This window comes from Homo sapiens, chromosome 10 (assembly GCF_000001405.40).
Source record: "Homo sapiens chromosome 10, GRCh38.p14 Primary Assembly".
Taxonomy (NCBI): Eukaryota; Metazoa; Chordata; class Mammalia; order Primates; family Hominidae; genus Homo; species Homo sapiens.
This window is the reverse complement of record NC_000010.11, coordinates 70,788,440-70,807,807: the sequence shown is the minus strand read 5'-3', so window position 1 is coordinate 70,807,807 and position 19,368 is coordinate 70,788,440. Positions and strand designations below refer to the sequence as shown.

Below are 19,368 nucleotides of genomic sequence, written 5' to 3'. Positions count from 1 at the left end.
TTTTATAGGACTATGTGGTTTTCTTGTCGCAATGTGCATAATTTATCTTGTGACCACAATGTAACTCACTGAATCACCTCTGTTTGTTAATTCCATCTTTTTCCTCCCAAGATAGAAAGGGGGAAAAAAATCTCTAGTTGTATGGTATTGGTCAAGAGATCTAAAAGATCATAAAGTGTAATACGACCAAGGAACTCCCAGAACTTTGGGCAACTCATTCAGTTGTTTTGAAGATTTTTTAAAATTGGGATACATTGTATGTACAGACAAGTCCACAAATCAAAGTGTAGAGCTAGATGAATATTGACATAGTGAACACCATTGTTCAGCACCACCCAGATCAAGAAACAGAATGTCACCAGTTCAATTGTTTTTTAAATAAATGCAAATGCAGATGGCAATCCTCCTGTCTGAGACCTCCCAGTCCTGTAGGAAACAGTGTTTTGATCTTCATCCAAAGAGCAACAGCCGTTGAGGTCTTTTCAGTCAAGGGACTGACAATATCACATTTGTGTTTTAGAACAATCCGTCTGCGTGGTATGGAGAATGGCTAGGAGAGAATTCATATGGGCAGAAAAGGTACTCAGCAAAGAATGAAAATAGTTGGTTCTAGGGTACAACAATGGCATAAGCTTAGAAGACAGACCTTTGGAAAGTGACAGAACAGATTAAAACAAGACTCCCAAAGCCACAGGCTACCCTGTGCCTGGCAAGCAGGCTCCCACATGTGCCCTCAAGCCAAGATTCCCAGGGAAGAAGTCACATTCAGAGCTCAGGGCAAACTAACCCATAGCTAGTGGGCTACACCTTTAACTTGTTGCAGCTGGATTGCGGTACCTCTCCCTTAACCACAGGATTCTTTCTGACTTGAAGGTTGTTTGGCAGAAGTAACCAGTAGAGTAATTGTGTTCATGCTGATGCTATTTCAATTTATCCTAAGTGCTATGGGTTGAACTGTGTCCCCCAACAATCCATGTGGTGAATATGGCCTTACTGGAAAATAGGGTCATGGCAGATGTAATGAGTTAAGATGAAGTATTACTGGAATAGGGTGCACCCCTAGCCTAATATGACTGGTGTCCTTATAAAATGGGGCAATTTGGACAGACATGCATAGAGGGGGAGCACCATGTGAAAATGAAGGTAGCAATCAGAGTGATGACTTTATAAGCCAAAGACCATCAAAGGTTGCCAACAAACCACCAGTAGCTAGGAGAGGGCCATGAAACGTGTTTTTCCTCATAGCTCTCAGAAGGAACCAGCCCTGCCAACACCTTGATCTCAGACTTCTATCTTGCAGAAATGGGAGACAATCCATTTCTGTTGTGCAAGCCACCCAGTTTGTGGCACTTTGTTACAACAGCCTGATTAGCAAGCTAACACAAATAGATTCTCACGCTAGCCCCAAACCTCAGTAGGTTGGCAATGGAGGAATGGGAAGGGCAGGGTGACATGACCATTCTCAGTGGCCTCATGTGCCCACTGACCACCCAAGTGTTGGGGCAGTGGTGGGGACTTGGAAGCCTGCAGAGCCCTCCAATAGCTGCTGCCAACTGTCTTTCTGGGAGACAAAGCAGCCTCAAGCTAGTCCTTGTGGGTCTGCTTGAGGGCACTGCTACATTCAGTTTTAGGGTATAAACCCACACCTGCCACTTAGGGACAGCTGTTGCAGGAGGTGCTGCAGAGGAAACCACTCACTCAGACATATTTCAAATGCCCACTCTTGCTATCCACTATCCATTGAATTCAAGTGCGTCAAATGTTTAAACCATGTGCCCTGGCTGCCCATCCAAACATCTAACTCAACATTCCTAGCTACTGCATCATCTTAGAACAAACTCAACTCATTTCATTTGAATATTCATATGAATCCCTTCAATACAGACATCATACAAGTCCTTTAAAACAAACTGTTTATAGCTAGTAGCCATCTCCTGACCTCAGCTGTCCCCCTCCAGGGAAAGCTTACAAAGTTTCTAGTTGGGAACAGAAGGCCCTTTGGGACTTGCCCAATGTTGTCTCAGGACATGACCTCACAACAGTAAAAACAAGTCAAAACCCAAGGCCTACTGGCAGAGAATCAGTTAAAGGACAAGCATAACTAAGTCAGCAGAGGTTACCTGGGCCTCACCCCAGCCTACATGGAAAGCACTTACCTGGTAAGCGCTCCGTAAATGGTAGCCCATAGCAATAATCATCTGTCAGTGGCTGTATTGATCTATCTGTGAATCAGATCATATCTGGAGAAGATAACCTTGAAGGGAAAGACACCATAAGAAGCCCAGTTAACTGAATGCCTTTCTTGAACTTGGCCACAGTGACCTCTACGATCAGCCGCTGCTTCTCTCCACCTTCATCTCCCCCATTTCCACCTCACTCTCAGACTTTATGTCCCAACTATACTCACAGTGACTATCTGGGATACTTTTGAAACTAAGGACATATTATTAAGTTTTCTGGGACAACAAGCATAAATTGGTCTGTTCTAACAATCTGAGTCTTCTAGTCTCCCTAGCCATCTAGAACAACTTAGAGTTTCCATAACATGCCCTGGGCTTTTATAGCTCCAGACTTTTGCATGTGCTATTCCCTTTTCTTGGAACATCCTTCTCTCCTTGGTCTACTTTGCAACCTTCCCCAAGACCCCTAGGTAGGCTCGAATTCTCTTTTCCTGTGTCTCCATTTCCCTAACACTTAGCACATTAAGTCTTAATTTCTCTGGCTCCCTCAAGACCAGTAACCACTCGAGGATGATATTATGTCTTTTCACCTGTATGTTCTCTAATCTATTCCGTGTTACAGACATTCAACAAATGTGTGTCTAATCAATGATTTTGTGGTTACCTGGAAAAGAAGTGGGTGTCAGAACTAACCACAAATGTCTGAAGAGTTGTCATGGTGAAGAAGGCCCAGACTTGATTCGTGTGGCCATAAAGGATAGAACAAGAATACTAACCAGAAGCCTCAAGGAGGCATATTTCAGCTCAATATTAAGAAGAACTTTCTAGGCAAGAGACCTAAACAGAAAATGAACGGGCAGCCTTGAGCAGTAGAGAGCTTGTTGTCATTAGAAGTGTTTAAATGATAAATGCTAACAAACCCTTGGTAGGAATGAGGCAAGGATTCAAGCATGTAGTAGATGAATGATCTGAATAAATACCTGAGACTCTATGACTCACTTATTCATCCGTTCAATGAATACTAGGCATCAGGCACTGTACCAAGAGCCTGATGAATTAACACAAAGCAAACACACCCATGTAACCACCACATAGATCAAGGCCCTATTCTTGGTAGTGAACAAGGCAAATGTGGTCTCTGACCTCTTGGAACTTACAGGCTTGCAGAAGAGATATATAAAATTGTAAGAATTATTGGGTACTAAGAGAGAGTACAGGAGGAGAACTAGGTATGGGGACCCAGTTTTGTTCCCCTAAGGCCACTTTGTTCTATGACCTTGGATGTTCTGGAGAGCTCAGGCTTATTCTCTCTACTCTGATGCCTGCTCTTCCAGTTGGGTGGCCTTCCTGAATGCTGGCTTAGACCAGTCTATACCTGTCAGCTCCAGAGCTGTGAGTCCTGGTCAGATGACAGGTAACTAGGTAACTTTGATCATCCCAGGGGAAACAGGTGAGTGAGCCATGTGGGGTCTTTAACCATGCCTCCATTCTTTCCTTTTCTCTTTTCTGAAAGACCATCAGAAGGCTAGTCATGCAGAGCTCAGGACAATAAAGGCACAAAGAATGCTATGATAGATGTACCCAAAGAGCCTGGCAAAAATTCAAACTCTCGGAGCAGCCAACCTTCATCAAAACACTCAATGGTACTGGCCGCAATCCAGAACTCCATGCACAAAGCAAAAAAGACATAGCAGGTGAGCCAACAGCATGTGGTCACAGGATTTTCTCCTGTACTCTGATGGGGAGTGGCATCAGGAAAAAACAGCAGCCATTCACACAACATTAGCTTGATCTTGGTAAACACTAATAATTAAAAAGCAAATACTATGCATCATACCTTTACTGTGGATCACACTCTGTGCTAAATGATCTTATATGCATTATCTTATTTAATCATCAAACAGCTACATAAAGTTAGAAGAATTATTATTTCTATTTTACAGATGAGGAAACTGAGGTCAGGAGTTGTCAAAATTTGGTTTAAGTCACATAGAGAATGGCAGGCCTGAGTAACTCTGGAGCCCAGGCTTCTGGCCTCCGTTCTGTGGACTCTTTCATGAGGTTAAATGAGAGCCCGCCAAAGCAGAGTGAGTTGAAATGAGCTACCCTCTCTGACCTCCAAAGGCAGGTGAGCAAGTCCTCAGCACAGTAGCAGTTTAGCAAGACAGTTCACTGCATAGGCAAAGTCAATAGGAAAACAACAAACTAAAAAAAAGTATTTTAATTACTCGTATTACAAAGCGATAATCTCTCTAATACATGAATCCATCTATCCGTATACGAACTAACAAACCAATAGAAAAATGAGCAAAGGTCACAAAAATGCATACAAATAGCATTTAAACACATGAAAAGTCAACCTCACTCAGTAAAGAAATGCAAATTAAAGCTACACTGGCCAGGCATGGTGGCTCAGGCCCATAATCCCAGAACTTTGGGAGGCCAAGGCGGGTGGATCATGAGGTCAGGAGATCGAGACCATCCTGGCTAACACAGTGAAACCCCATCTCTACTAAAAAATACAAAAAATCAGCTGGGCATGGTGGCATACGCCTGTAGTCCCAGCTACTCGGGAGGCTGAGGCGGAAGAATCACTTGAACCTGGGAGGCAGAGGTTGCAGTGAGTCGAGATCGTACCACTACACTCCAGCCTGGGCAACAGAGGGAGACTCTGTTTGAAAAAAAAAAAAAGCTATACTAAGGAAGCACTGGTCTCCTACAAACTTGACAAGCTTGTGGGATGCCCTTAAACATGTAACGTATTTGAAAAGAAGGAAAGTCAATGATGTAAATATCTATCTCAAGAAATTATAAAAACAATAGCAAACTAAGCCTAAAGAAAGTAGAAGGTAATAATGAAGAGGATCAACAAAATGAAAAATTGGTTTGTTAAAAATAACTACTAAAAATAATAACCCCTGGCAGGATTGATAAAGAAAAAAGAGAGAAAGGGATGAGAGAAAGAGAGAGAGAGAAAGAGAGAGAGAACAAATTCAGTCCAATATCAAAAATGAAAAAGAAGATATCACTATAGTTCCTAGAAACAAAGATATGGTCTTTATGCAATAAATTTGAAAATGTAGATGATATGGAAAAATTCCTAGAAAAACACAATACATGCCAACACTGAAATGACAGAGATATTGTAATTATCTGACAAAGATTTTAGAGCAGCCATGATTTTTTAAAAATTGCTTCAGTGAGAACTTAGGAACACAAAACAAATGAAAAAAATAGGAAGCCTCAGCAAAGACATGGAAGCTATAAAGAGCAAAATGGAGATTTTAGAACTGCAAAATACAATCACTGAAATAAAAAGTCAATGGATGGGCTTAACAGCAGAATGGAGGAGGTGGAGGAAAGAATCAGTCAACTGGGAGATAGAAATTAACCAATCTGAAAAAAAAAAAGAAACACTAGACCAAAAACAAAACAAATTAGAACAATACAAAAACAGAACCTCAGGGACCTGTGGAACTATAACAAAAGATCTAATATTTGTGTCATCGAAGTCCTAGAATAATAAGAGGAAGAGGATAGGACTGCAAAAGTACTTGACATAATGGCTGAAAAGCTCCCAAATTTCAGAAGAGACATAAATCTACAGATTCAAGAAGATGAGCAAACAAAACAGAATAAGCCTAAAGAAATCCATGTCACAAGACACATAATTATTAAACTTCTAAAAACTAAAGACAAAGAAAAAAAATCTTGCAAGCAGCCAGAGAATAACTCCTTATGTATAGGAGAAAAAACAAGTAGAATGACAGCAGTTTTCTCATCAGAAATCACAGGGGTTAGTAGGAATATTTTTCAGATGATGAAAGTAAAAATGTGTCAACCCAGAATCCTATATGAGGAGATCGAAGATCACCTGGTGAGCATCTAACAGGCCATCAGTAGGCAAAACTCCTTTTCTGGGGAATTTAGAAATAAACGTCCCTAGTATCTACAGTTGGCCTCTGTTTTCAGGCCTCTCTCAAAAAAAAAAAAAAGAATTCACAAGTAACTGTAATTTCTATACATCTCCGAATGCCATGCTGAAACTCACTGTGCAACCCTTGATGACATTAAGGCACCAAAATGTTGACAAATGTAATCATTTACCATGACCCACATGGCTAATATGATCCAAATTACCCTTAAGCTCCCGCCTTAAGGTCCATAAATACCCCTCAGGAAAATCCACGCGGGTGTGCTCAGTCCTCTCTGGCAGAGGAGCCCTGCTACACTCTTCTGCAGCGTTCTTTCTAATGAAAATTTCCTTTTTCAAACCTATACTGTTGTTGGTAAATTCTTCTTACCAACCCATGAGTTGACTACTTTCCAATGCTAGGGCTCTGACACCTCGCCCAGCATCTTGGTGACCTGTATGGGGACTTTACTGGGATTTCTCCCTTCTTTTTTCTCCCTGCTTCCCTCGATTTTTATTATCTTGTTTTTTATAGAGAGAGGGTTTTGCCATGTTGGCCAGGCTGCTCTCGACCTCCTGGCCTCATGTGAAACGTCCAACTTGGCTTCCCAAAGTGTTGGGATTACGGGCATGAGCCACTGTACCCGGCCTGATGGTCTGGTTCTTTACTCTTAGGAACTGAAGGTCCCTGGCTGAGGCCAATCTTCAGTGGGATTCTGAAGCCCTAGAGAAGGGATATCTGTGTGTCACTGCTCTTAGGGGTGAGAAAGTGGCCTCTTTTCTTTTCTTTTTTTCTTTTTTCATTTTGAGAAGGAGTTTCGCTCTTGTTGCCCAAGCTGGAGTGCAATGGTGCGATCTCAGTTCACTGCAACCTCTGCCTCCCGGGTTCAAGCGATTCTCCTGCCTCAGCCTCCTGAGTAGCTGGGATGACAGGCATGCGCCACCACGCCCAGCTAATTTTTTGTATTTTTAGTAGAGACAGGATTTTGCCATGTTAGCCAGGCTGGTCTCGAACTCCTGACCTCAGGTGATCCAACCGCCTCGGCCTCCCAAAGTGCTGGGATTACAGGCTGAGCCACCACACCTGGCCCAGGGTTCTTTTCTATTTTCAGACTGCCAGTGAAACAGCTTGAGTACTCTTTGGCAATTGAGGGTTTCTGGCTGAGGGCACTCCTGGGTGTTACCTGAAGGCAAAGACAAAAGAGTGAATTCACTATTGCCCGCCAGGGTAGCAAGTCCACTTTCACTTTAATAGTCTAAACCATGCCTTGAAACAAGCAGCAGCAATCTCAACTCTGCACAGACACAGTCTACTGGTTGTGGACCCCATTTTGGATTCAACTTCATCACAGGCACCGCATCCCAAATTATAGGTAAGTTCTGCTTCACATTAGGTTCAAGCTGACCACTCAAACAAGAGCATGCTTGGACTGGTCATCCAGGCAAGGGCAGGCCCTCTATTTGTGGTGAGACACCCCTGAATAGAGTGAGCCAAAGGGAAAAGGGAGGTCCAGATCCCTTAGGGATGCCTCAGAGATCTTGTAGTCCCTTATCAACACCCAACATGGATTCGATTCATTCTTCCATTCCATCTGATTCGCCCTTGGCTTGCATTCTTAAAAAGTGGTCCCATTTTGACCCACAAACTCTCAGAAAGAAGTGTATGATTTTCTTTTGTAAGGGTTCAATATAAGCGCCCCAATAATTTAAATTGTCCTCTTAATGGGACCCTGGATTGGAATATTATTTTACAACTAGACTCATTTTGCCATAACCCCAGAAAGGATTCAGAGGTCCCTTAGGTCTTTTTCGCTTTATCCCCAAACCCAGAATTACATTAAAAATTGTCATGTATGCTTCCAAGGAACTTCCTCTCTCCCCAATTCTAATGTCTTAGATGATCCTCCCTTTTGTCTGTTACTCTCTTCTCAGCCTGTTACTACTTCATCTACACCCTCTCCATCTGCTCCATCCCCTAGTCAATCCCTCCATATCCAGATACATTATCCCCCTCACATACTCGCACAGGAGTCACATATGCCACTAGTACAGAGTCCTCAGAAAATCCCCAAAATATTTTGCCTCTCTGTGAGGTGGCAAATGGAGATTTGCGGACAATTTGAGCTCATGTGGAGCCTTCGCCAAGATGGCCGATTTGAAGCAGTTGCCATCTGAGGCACTCAGGGAGAGGAACGAAAGGAGCAAGTGAATATAGCACCTTCAACTGAAATATCCAGGTCCTACATTGGGACTGATCAGGGAAACAATTCTACCCACAGAGAATGAAGAAAAGCAGGGTGGGGCGATGACCCACTCAAGAGCAACACGGAGCCAAGGGAACCCCTGCCCCCAGCCAAGGGAAGTGGTGAGTGATTGTGCAACCCTGGGAAACCGTGATTCTCCCCTCATGAGTCCATGCCACCAGGGCCTTAGGTCCAACACACAGATCTGTGTAGTCTTGGCAGAGCAGCTGCTCAGGCACACACAGAGACCCAGGAGTTTTACATACTCCAGCCCCGGGATCCCCAACAAAGGTATCTGCAGCTCAGGCAAGGCAGTGAAGTGGCTTCATTGTCTGGGGTAAAACCCAGAGTCTCGTGGCAAGAAAATTTAGGACATTGACACACACAAGGAGTTTAGGAGCAGAGGTTTAATAGGCAAAAGAAAGAGAAAGGAGAACATTCCTCATCACTGGGTGGGACCTCCCAGCCAAGGCTTCCTCTCTCTCTCACTAAAGAGAGAGGAGCTTCCGAAAGGAAAGACCAGCTGGTGATGGAGTGTGCGGGATTTTATAGGCAGGCCTGAGAGGCAGTGGCTGATTTACGTGGGGCCCACGGATTGGTTTGATCGGGTGTGATGTTTCCATAGCACATGGGGAAGACTGTCCACTCCACCCTAATCTTATGCAAATGGACTCTCCCCTTGGCCAGCGCCATCTTGTCTGCTCCTTACTGTATACATGGCTGGCAAAGAGAAGGGAAGATGGAGCCACCATTTTGAACATGATTGGCACAACCACGGGCATCTATGTCTGCAGCTTGATTTTAGAGGCTGCTTTTTGTTCAGAAGAAAAATGATTTGGGGCTGCCTTTCATTAAAAGGAAAATGTTATCGACGACTTCCGTGCCCTCACTATCTGCCTAAGTAATTTCTTTTTAACTCCTGTATCATTAGGAGGTCCATACATGCCCCTAGGAAGGGCGTTGAATTCAGGGAGTCAAGCAGCACTAGTCTGTAGGACCCACTTCCACGGCACCTCACAAGGTATTTTAGCCAGCCACTGGTAACAGGGTCGAGCCTGCCCGAGTTGGGCTGGAGCTCCCTGCGGGAGGGGTGCACCACCAGCCCTGCTGTTTGGTTGATTCAGCCGTTCCAGCCTGTGGGCTTTGGAGAGTCCAAATAGTCCAGATGAGGAAGGGTTTCCCTAGTGCAGCACAGCAGCTTTGTCAGAACATAGCCAGACTGCTTCTTTAAGTGGGACCCTGATCCATTCCTCATCACTGGGTGGAACCTCCCAGCCAAGGCTTCCAGCCACCCCCACCCACACGTATTCTACAGACAGAGCTCTGATTTCTCCATGGGACAGAGTGCCCAGGGGGAGGGGTGGGCTTCCACCTTGGTTGTTTGGACAAGTCAGCCCATGGGCTTTGGAGAGTCCAAACCGACAGGGGCAGAGGCGGTTCTCCAGCATGACAAGGCTGTTTTGGCAGGGTGTGGCCAGACGGCTTCTTTAAGCAAGACTACAGTCCATCCCTCCTCACTGGGCAGGACCTCCCAACGGGGGCCTCCGGTCACCCCTGCATGTGTTCTGTGGCTGACAGCGTTCTAATTTCTCCCTGGGATGGAGAGCTCAGGGGGCAGGGCAGGCTGCAACCTTGGCTGTTCCAGTGTCTCAACCAGTCCAGCCTGTGGGCCTTGGAGAGCCCAGACCGATCCCCCACACGGCATAGCTGCTCTATCAAAAAGCAACCAGATTGATTCTTTTTTTTTTTTTTTGAGACAGAGTCTCACTTTGCCACCAGGCTGGGGTGCAGTGGCGCAATCTCGGCTTACTGCAACCTCTGCCTCCCGGATTCAATTGATTCTCTTGCCTCAGCCTCCTGAGTAGCTGGGATTACAGGCATGGGCCACCATGCCTGGCTAATTTTTGTATTTTTAGTAGAGACAGGGTTTCACCATGTTGGCCAGGCTGGTCTCAAAATCAAGGGATGGAGGAAACTTTACCAAGCAAATGGAAAACAGAAAAAATCAGGGGTCACAATCCTAGTTTTTGACAAAACAGACTTTAAACCAACAAACATCAAAAAAAGACAAAGAAGGGCATTACATAATGGTAAAGGGTTCAATTCAACAGGAAGAGCTAACTATCCTACATATATATGCACACAATACAGGAGCACTCAGATTCATAAAGCAAATTCTTAGAGACCTTCCAAGATACTTAGACTCCCACACAATAATAGTGGGAGACTTTCACACCCCACTGACAATTTAGACAGATCATCAAGACAATAAATTAACAAAGATATGCAGGACCTGAACTCAGCTCTGGATCAAGTGGACCTGATGGATATCTACAGAACTCTCCAGCCCAAAGCAACAGAATATACATTCTTATTGCCACATGGCACTTGCTCTAAAATTAATCACGCAATTGGAAGTAAAATACTCCTCAGCAAATGCAAAAGAACTGAAATCATAACAAACAGTCTCTCAGACCACACTGCAAACAAGTTAGAACTCAAGATTAAGAAATTCACTCAAAACCATACAACTATATGGAATTGAACAACCTGCTCCTGAGTGACTTTTGGGGTAAATAATGAAATTAAGGCAGAAATCAATAAGTTCTTTGAAACTAATGAGAACAAAGATACAATGTACTAGAATCTCTGGGATGCAGCTAAAGTAGTGTTAAGGGGGAAAGTTATAGCACTAAACGCCCACATCAAAAAACTAGAAAGATCTCAAGTTAACAACCTAACATCACAACTAATAGAACTAGAGAACAAAGAGCAAACCACAAAGCTAGTAGAAGACAAAAAATAAGATCAGAGCTGAATTGAAGGAGATAGAGACATGAAAAATCCTTCAAAAAATCAACAAATCTAGGAGCTGGTTTTTTGAAAAATTAATAAAATAGATAGACCACTAGCTAAACTAATAAGAAAAGAGAGAAGATTCAAATAAACACAATCAGAAATGATAAGGGGGCTATCACCAGTGACCCCACAGAAATACAAACAACTGTCAGAGAATATTATAAACACCTCTATGCACATAAACTAGAAAATCTGGCAGAAACGGATACATTTCTGGGCACATACACCCTCTCAAGACTGAACCAGGAAGAAATAGAATCCCTAAATAGACCAATAATAAGTTCTGGAATTTAGGCAGTAACAAATAACCTACCAAATGAGTTCATGTCTCATTTCCAATTTCTGATTCTCACAAATTCAATCCAGATTGGTTTCATTTAGCCAGCATCCCTCTAAGTTCATTCAAGAATTTTGGGCTTTAACTATTACCTTTGACTTAACCTGGAAAAACATATTCATTGTATTAACTACTTGCTGTTCCCATGAAGAAAAATCATGTGTACGGTCTTTAGCTCGAGCTTGGGCAGAGGAAGCTCATGCTTGTAACCCTAATGATAATAGAGACAGGGCAGAATTTGTCCCTGACACAGAACTCAATTTGGCAATACCAGGCTGCCAATGCTGACCCAAACAGAGGCAGGGGCAGACAAGATTATATGATAAATTGTTTGTTGGAAGGAATGAAAAAGGCTGTAATAAAACCTGTTAATTTCTCTAAATTATAAGAAATCACTCAGGAGCCATGTGAGAACTCCACCCTTTTCCAAGCTAGGCTGGTGGAAGCCATGCATACATATACACATTTAGGCCCCAAAAGCCCTGAGGGCCAATTCATTCTAGCCGTACACTTTATAAGTCAGGCTTCCCCAGACATCAGACAAAAAATCCAAAAATTAGAGGAAGGCCCAAAAACTCCTTTTGTACTTTATTAAATACAGCCCTTAAGGTTTTCAGTAACTGGGAGAAAACATCAAAAACAAAGAAGCCTCAATTGGAGGAGGAAAAATGCCATTGTCAAGATAATCACATGGCAACAGCATTGGCACATTCTTTTTCATTAGCTAATAATCCCAAGGCTCGTCCCTATAATGCTAACAGAATGGGGGCCTGTCATCACTGCAGAAATCCAAGACACTGAAGTACAGATGTCCCAAACCACCAGGTTACAAGTCACCCCAGGGACCCTGTCCTTATTGCAGACAAGAGGGTCATTGGAAGAGCAAGAGTCCCTCTCCCCATCGTGAGGTGAGGCACCTCTTCCTTCTGGGCTGTAACAGCCAAAGCCTTACCAACCTATCCAACAAGGGGGTTCTGCAGAACAAGGACAAGGGCAACAACAAGGCCAAGCACCTCTAACTCCATTCCTGGATTATGATCAACTTCTGAAAGTCATCCTCTGAAAGTCATCCTCTAGATGACTTTCAGAAGTCATCCATCCAGCCCCTATCTTTTCCATCTCTATGGATGAGCCTCAGGTAAATCTGACTGTGGCTGAACAAGACATAATGTTCCTCATAGATACAGGGGCCAGTTATTCAGCTTCAAAAGTTTATTACTGCCCAAATTGCCAGTTCGCCATTTTCCTCATGGGTATTGATGGAAACCCCCAATGAGGCTATTTCACACTGTCACTCCCTTGTAAAATGGAAGGCTATTCCTTTACCCACCCACTTCTTTTTAGTCCTGCCAAGCCATCCTGTTTCATTATTAGATGCTGACTTACAAAGTTACAAGCAATTTACCGCTAAGACCTCATCTTCTAGCAGCTGTATTCACTCACACTTCACCAAAAGAGCCACTGCAGTCTATAGAACCTCATATTCTAAAACAAGTGCCATTTGAGCTTTGGAATATTTTTATTCCTGGTCATTCAATATCAGCTGCCCCTATTATCATTCAGCTTAAAAATCCCAATAAGTTCCCCAGAACCCCCCAATAGCCCTTGAAACTAGAAGAACAAAAAGGGTTACAGCCCCTAGTAACAAAGTTTTCAACCCATGGATTATTGCACCCAAGCAACTCACCTTGCAACACTCCCATTTTAGCTGTAAAGAAACCAGATGTCCTCTCTCCAGTCCGTGCCTCCAAGATGACAAAGAAAAGGAACAACGGCCTCACCAAAAAGGGCCACAGCCATGTGCAGCCTATTTGCTGCATGAACTGTGCCCGATGCATGCCCAAGGACAAGGCTATTAAGAAATTTGTCATTCGAAACATAGTGGAGCCCGCAGCAGTCAGGGACATTTTTGAAGCGAGGGTCTTCAATGCCTATGTGCTTTCCAAGCAGTATATGAAGCTACATTACTGTGTGAGTTGTGCAATTCACAGCAAAGTAGTCAGAAATCAATCTCATGAAGGCTTCAAGGACCCAACACTCCCACCCTTAGACCTGTGGGTGCTGCCCCATGACCCCCACCAAAGCCCATGTAAGGAGCTGAGTCCTTAAAGACTGAAGACAGACTATTCTCTGGAGAAAAATAAAATGGAAATTGTACTTTAAAAAAAATGGCTCCTACTGACTAGTACAGGACCTTAGAATTGTTAATGAAGCTGTTATTCCTATTCATCCTATTGTCCCAAACCCTTACACTCTTTTTGGACAAATTCTCTCCATCACAGCTTGGTTTACTGTACTTGATCTTAAGGATGCCTTTTTCTGCATTCCTGTACACCCAGATAGCCAATTTTTGTTTGCTTTTGAATAGCAAGACTCAGATACTCAACTAGCTCAAAGTTAACTTAGACAGTTCTGTCCCAGGGATTCAGAGATAGCCCCCACCATTTTGGATAGGCCCTAGCTAAAAACCTGTCTACCCTGCAGTTTCTCCCAGATAGCAATCTACTGCAGTATGTGGATGGACCTGCTAATCTGTAGTACTAACAAGGCTGTTTTAGACCAAAATACAATATTAGTACTAAATAAACTTGCTGATGGTGGCTACAAAGTATCTCCTTCTAAGGTACAAATATCCACACAAAGGGTTCAATTTTGGGTCTTATTTTAACCTTCAGTACAAAGAGCCCCTAAGCATTTGGAAAAATCTTATCATCTTAAACGTGACAACCCCAGGAACTAAACAACAGCTTTGGTCCTTTTTGGATATGGCCAGGTTTTACAGAATATGGATTCCTTCCTTTGGATTAATAGCAAAACCTTTATATGAATCCCTCAAGGGAACTGAGGAGCAACCTCTTTCCTAGACTAATGTTATGAAGCATGCTCTAAACACTTAAAAACAGGCTTTAATCTCAGCCCCAGTCTTAGCCCTAGCAGATCTGACTAGGCCTTTATTTTTGAATGTACACAAATGAAGGGGAATAGCTTTGGGAGTCTTAGCCCAAGATCTAGGGCCCTTTAAGTGCCCTATAGCGTATTTTTGGAAAACTTTAGACCTAGTATCCCAGAAAGGTCATTCCCTCTCATCCCAGCCTAAGAGCCTTAGCAACAGTGGCCCTCTTAATCCAAGAAGCCTCAAAAGTATGTTACCTGCCTCACCTGGGCTCTCACTGCTTTGCAGCACTGCTAATAATTATTTAAGCCCTTTTCAAACTTCGGCCCTATCCCATCTTAATAATTCTCTTCATTATGGTGATTGTACTCTAGGAACAATAGCTCATACCCAAATCAGTGTCTTGAACATAACTTCCGATTCAGAATTCCATTCTAGAAGAAAAAGGGCCCGAGGACTTAAGTGTGGCCAGAATTGTGGGAACTATTGCAACTCTCACCCCTTTACTTACCATGAAATGTCAATATGGGAACTTACCACCTCCCTTGAAATAGCCTTAGCAAAAACTGGCACAAGTCTATCAGCACTAGAAAAGTCTTTACACTCACTAGCAGGAATGGGTTTAATAATAGACAAGCTCTGGATTACCCGCTAGCTGAACAAGGAGGAGTCAGTGCTGTCATCAAGAAAACCTACTACACCTACATTAATGTGTCTGGAGAAGTGGAAACTAAGGTCCAAGAAATCTTCAAACAAGCCAAATGGCCACACACACTTTCCCAAAGTAACCAAGACTGAGCCAAAACCTCTATTGATTGGTTTCCAAAAATCACTTGGCTTCTCCCATTCCTTGGACCTTTATTCCTTGTCATTCTTCTTTTGAAATTTGGTCCCTGACTTTTTAATGCTCTCATTAAGTTTATATCTTTCAGATTACAACAATTTCACCTACAGATGACTATGTAATCCCAATACCAGCCTCCTGATGGTATCTGGTCTTCCCCACCTCTTCATGAATGAGTTTTTCATGACCCTTCATTCCCTTCATGACAGAGAGCAAGAAAGGGAAAAACACAACCTATACCTTCAATGCCCCTTTCAGTAGGGATTAGCCAGATGGACTCAACGTGCCTTTTCACTGTGGCATTTTCCCTTTCTTGAAACCCCAGTAGGCAGCAGGTAGACAGGAGCATGGGGGAATACAGAGGGTCAAAGTTTCCAAAATATTTGTCAGGGGAAAAATAAGGAAAGCAAAAGTCACCTGGTGAACATTGAGCAGGCCCCGGAGACAAAAAACTCCTTATCTGAGGAATTTAGAAGTATAATGAAAGAAGTGAAGACCATCTGGTGAGCATCAAACAGTCTATTTGGAAGCAAATTCCTTATCTAGGAAATTTAGAGGTAAATTAAACTTCCCTAGTACCTAAAGTTGTCATCTGGTTCCAGGTCTCTTTAAAAAAAAAAAAATTGTAAGTAAATAGAAATTCTATACATCTCCAGAATGCCATGCCAAAACTCATTATGCAACCCTTGCTGACATTAGGGCACCAAAATGTCGACACGTAATCATTTATCATGACCTACGTGGCTAATATGGTCCAAATGACCCTTAAGCTCCCAACTTAATGTCCATATATGCTCCTAAGGAAAATCCATCTTGGTGTCCTCAGTCCTCTCTTGCTGAGGCACCCCACTGCACTCCTCTGCGGCATTCTTTCTTTATAATAAAACCTTCCTTTTTCAAACTAATACTGCTGTTGGTAAATTCTTCTTAACAACCCGTAAGTCAACCACTTCCTGATGAAGGGGCTCTGACACCTCACCCAGCACAAATCTGCTGTAAAAAAATGGTTAGAGGGAGTTCTCCAAACAGAAAGGAAACAATAATAGAAGAAACTCTGGAACATAAGGAAGGAAGAGCCCAGTAAGTAAAAATATGGGTAAATACAATGGGCTTTCCTTCTCTTGAGATTTCTAAATTGTGTTTGACAGTTGAAGCAAAACTTACAACACTGTTGGATATGGCTCTAAATGTATGTAGAGGAAATATTTAAAACAATTATCAACAAAGGGAGATAAAGGAACATAAAGGGAAATGAGCTTCCATACCTCACATGAAGTGGTAAAACAAGGATACAAGTAGACTGTGATATGTTTTATATATGTTATATATGTATAAAATATGTATATGTGTATAAAATAAAATATATATGTATAAAATAAAATACCTACAGCAGCCACTAAAAAAAGATACAGAGATACACTCAAAAGCGTTGTAAATAAATCAAAATGGAATTCTTAGTAGAATGTCCAAGAAACCCACAGTGAGACAGGAAAAAGAAAAAAAAAGAACATAAATTGGTAGAGTGGATTTCAAAACTTCATACAACTCTATGCAGTCTGTAAGAAACTCATTTCAAATATGATGACATAGGAACATTGAATGTAAAATGATGAAAAAAGATAAATCATGCAATCATTAATTAAAGGAAGGGAGTGGCTAAATTAATATCAGATAAAGTAAACTTCAGAGCAAAGAAAATGACAGAGACATAGGGGATATTAAATAATAATAAAAGCACCAGTCTATCAAGAAGATCTAGCAATCCTAAATGTATGTGCACCAAACAGCAGAGTCACAAAATGTGTGAAGAAACTGACAGAACTGAAAAGAGAAATAGACAAATCCACAATTATTGTTGGAAGCTTCAATAACCCTCTCTCAACCATTGATAGAACTAGACAAAAATTAGCAAGAATATACAAGAACTCAACAATTTTAACCAATAGACTTTAACATTTATAGAGCCCTTCACCCAATAACAGCAGAATACACATTCTTTTCTAGTGCTCATAGAATGTACACCAACATAGACCACATCCTGAGCCACAGAACAAACCTCAACACATTTAAAGAATTAAAATAATATAGAGTACCTTCCGCAAGCACAATTGAATCAATGTTGAAATCAATAGCACAAAGATAACTGGAGGGTGGGCATGGTGGTTCATGTCTGTAATCCCAGCACTTTGGGAGGCCAAGGTGGGTGGATCACTTGAGCTCAGGATTTCAAGACCAGCCTAGGTAACATGGCAAGACCCCATCTCTACAAAAATACAAAAATTAGCCAGGCGTGGTGGTGTACACCTATAGTCCCAGCTACTTGAAAGCTGAGGTGGGAGAATCACTTGAGCCTGGGAGGTCAAGGCTGCAGTTAGCTGTAATTCCACCACTGAACTACAGCCTGGGTAACAGAGTGAGACACTGTCTCATTTTAAAAAATAAATAAATGAAAAAGATAACAGGGAAATCTACAAACATTTGGAAATTAATAACATGCTTCTTTAAAAAATCCATGTTGGTAAAAGAAAATTTTAAAAGAAATTTTAAAAATACATTATAACTGAATGAAAATGAAGACATAGCATATCAAGATTCGTGGGCGACTGCTAAAGTACGTTGGGAGGAACATTTATAGCACTAAATGCATATATTAGAATAGAGGAGGCCAGGCACGATGGCTCATGCTTATAATCCCAGCACTTTGGGAGGTCGAGATGGGTGGATCATGAGGTCAGGAGTTCAAGACCAGCCTGGCCAAAATGGTTAAACCCCGTATCTACTAAAAATACAAAAAAATTAGCTGGACATGGTGGCAGGCGCCTGTAATCCCAGCAACTCCGGAGGCTGAGGCAGAGAATTGCTTGAACCTGGGAGGCAGAGGTTGCAGTGAGCGAAGATCGCGTCACTGCACTCCAGCCTGGGTGACAGAGCGAGACTCCATCCCCCTACCAAAAAAAAAGAGAGAGAAAAGTGTCCAACAAATAATCTAAGCACCCCCCTCACAAAACTAGAAAAAGCAGTGCAAAATAAATCCAAAACAAGCAGAACAATGAAATAACGAAGATAAGAGCAGAAATCCATGAAATTGAAAACAGAAAAAAAAAAGGAAAAATATCAATAAAACAAAGAGCTGGTTCTTTGAAAACATCAGTAAAATTGGCAAACTTCTATCTAGCAAGACTGGCAAAAAAAGAAAGAGAAAGAAATCACAAATTAATAGTATCAGGAATGAAATAAAGATATCACTACATATTCTACAGATATCAAAAGGATAATAAGAGAATATTACAAAACAACTCTACACAAATAAATTTTACAATATAAGAGACATTGGCCAACTCCTTGAAAAAGAAACTATTACAACTCACCCATTTTGAAACAGATCTCTTGAATAGTCCCATAACTGTTAAGAAAATTGAATTTTCAATTTTAAAACACCCCAAAAAATAAATCTCCAGGCCCAGGTAGTTTCACTGGAGAAATCCAGCAAACATTTAAAGAAGAATTAACATCAATTTTACACGATCTCTTCCAGAAAATAGAAAAGGAGGTAACACTTCCCAATTCATTTTATGAAATTAGTATTACCCTGATGATACCCAAACCAGAGGAAGATACTACAAAAAGGAAACTACAGATAAATATTCATCATAAATATAGGTGCAATAATCCTTAACAAAATATTTTCAAGTAGAATCCAGCAATATATAAAAAGAATTGTACACCATGACCAAGTGGGGCTTATTCCAGGGATAAAAAGCTAGTTCAATATTTGAAAAATCAATGTACTGACCAGCAAAAGAAGAAAAATCACAAGATCATATTAGTTGATGCAGAAAAAAAGCATTTGATAAAATTCAACACACATTTATGACAAAAATGCTCAGAAAAATAGGAAGAGAGAGGGACTTCTTTAACCTGATAAAGAGTATATATAAAAAACCTACAGCTGACATTATATTTAATGGTTAAAGACTCTGTGTTTACTTCCTAAGATTAGGAACAAGGTAAGGATGTGCACTCTCACCACTGTTATTCAACTTAGTATTGGAAATTCTAGGCAGTGCAGTAAGACAAGAGAAGAGAAGAGAAGAGAAGA

General features: G+C 41.8%; 1 pseudogene; it reads left to right on the top strand.

Moving 5' to 3' along the window:
- RPS26P40 (ribosomal protein S26 pseudogene 40) lies at positions 13,259-13,692 on the top strand (annotated as a pseudogene).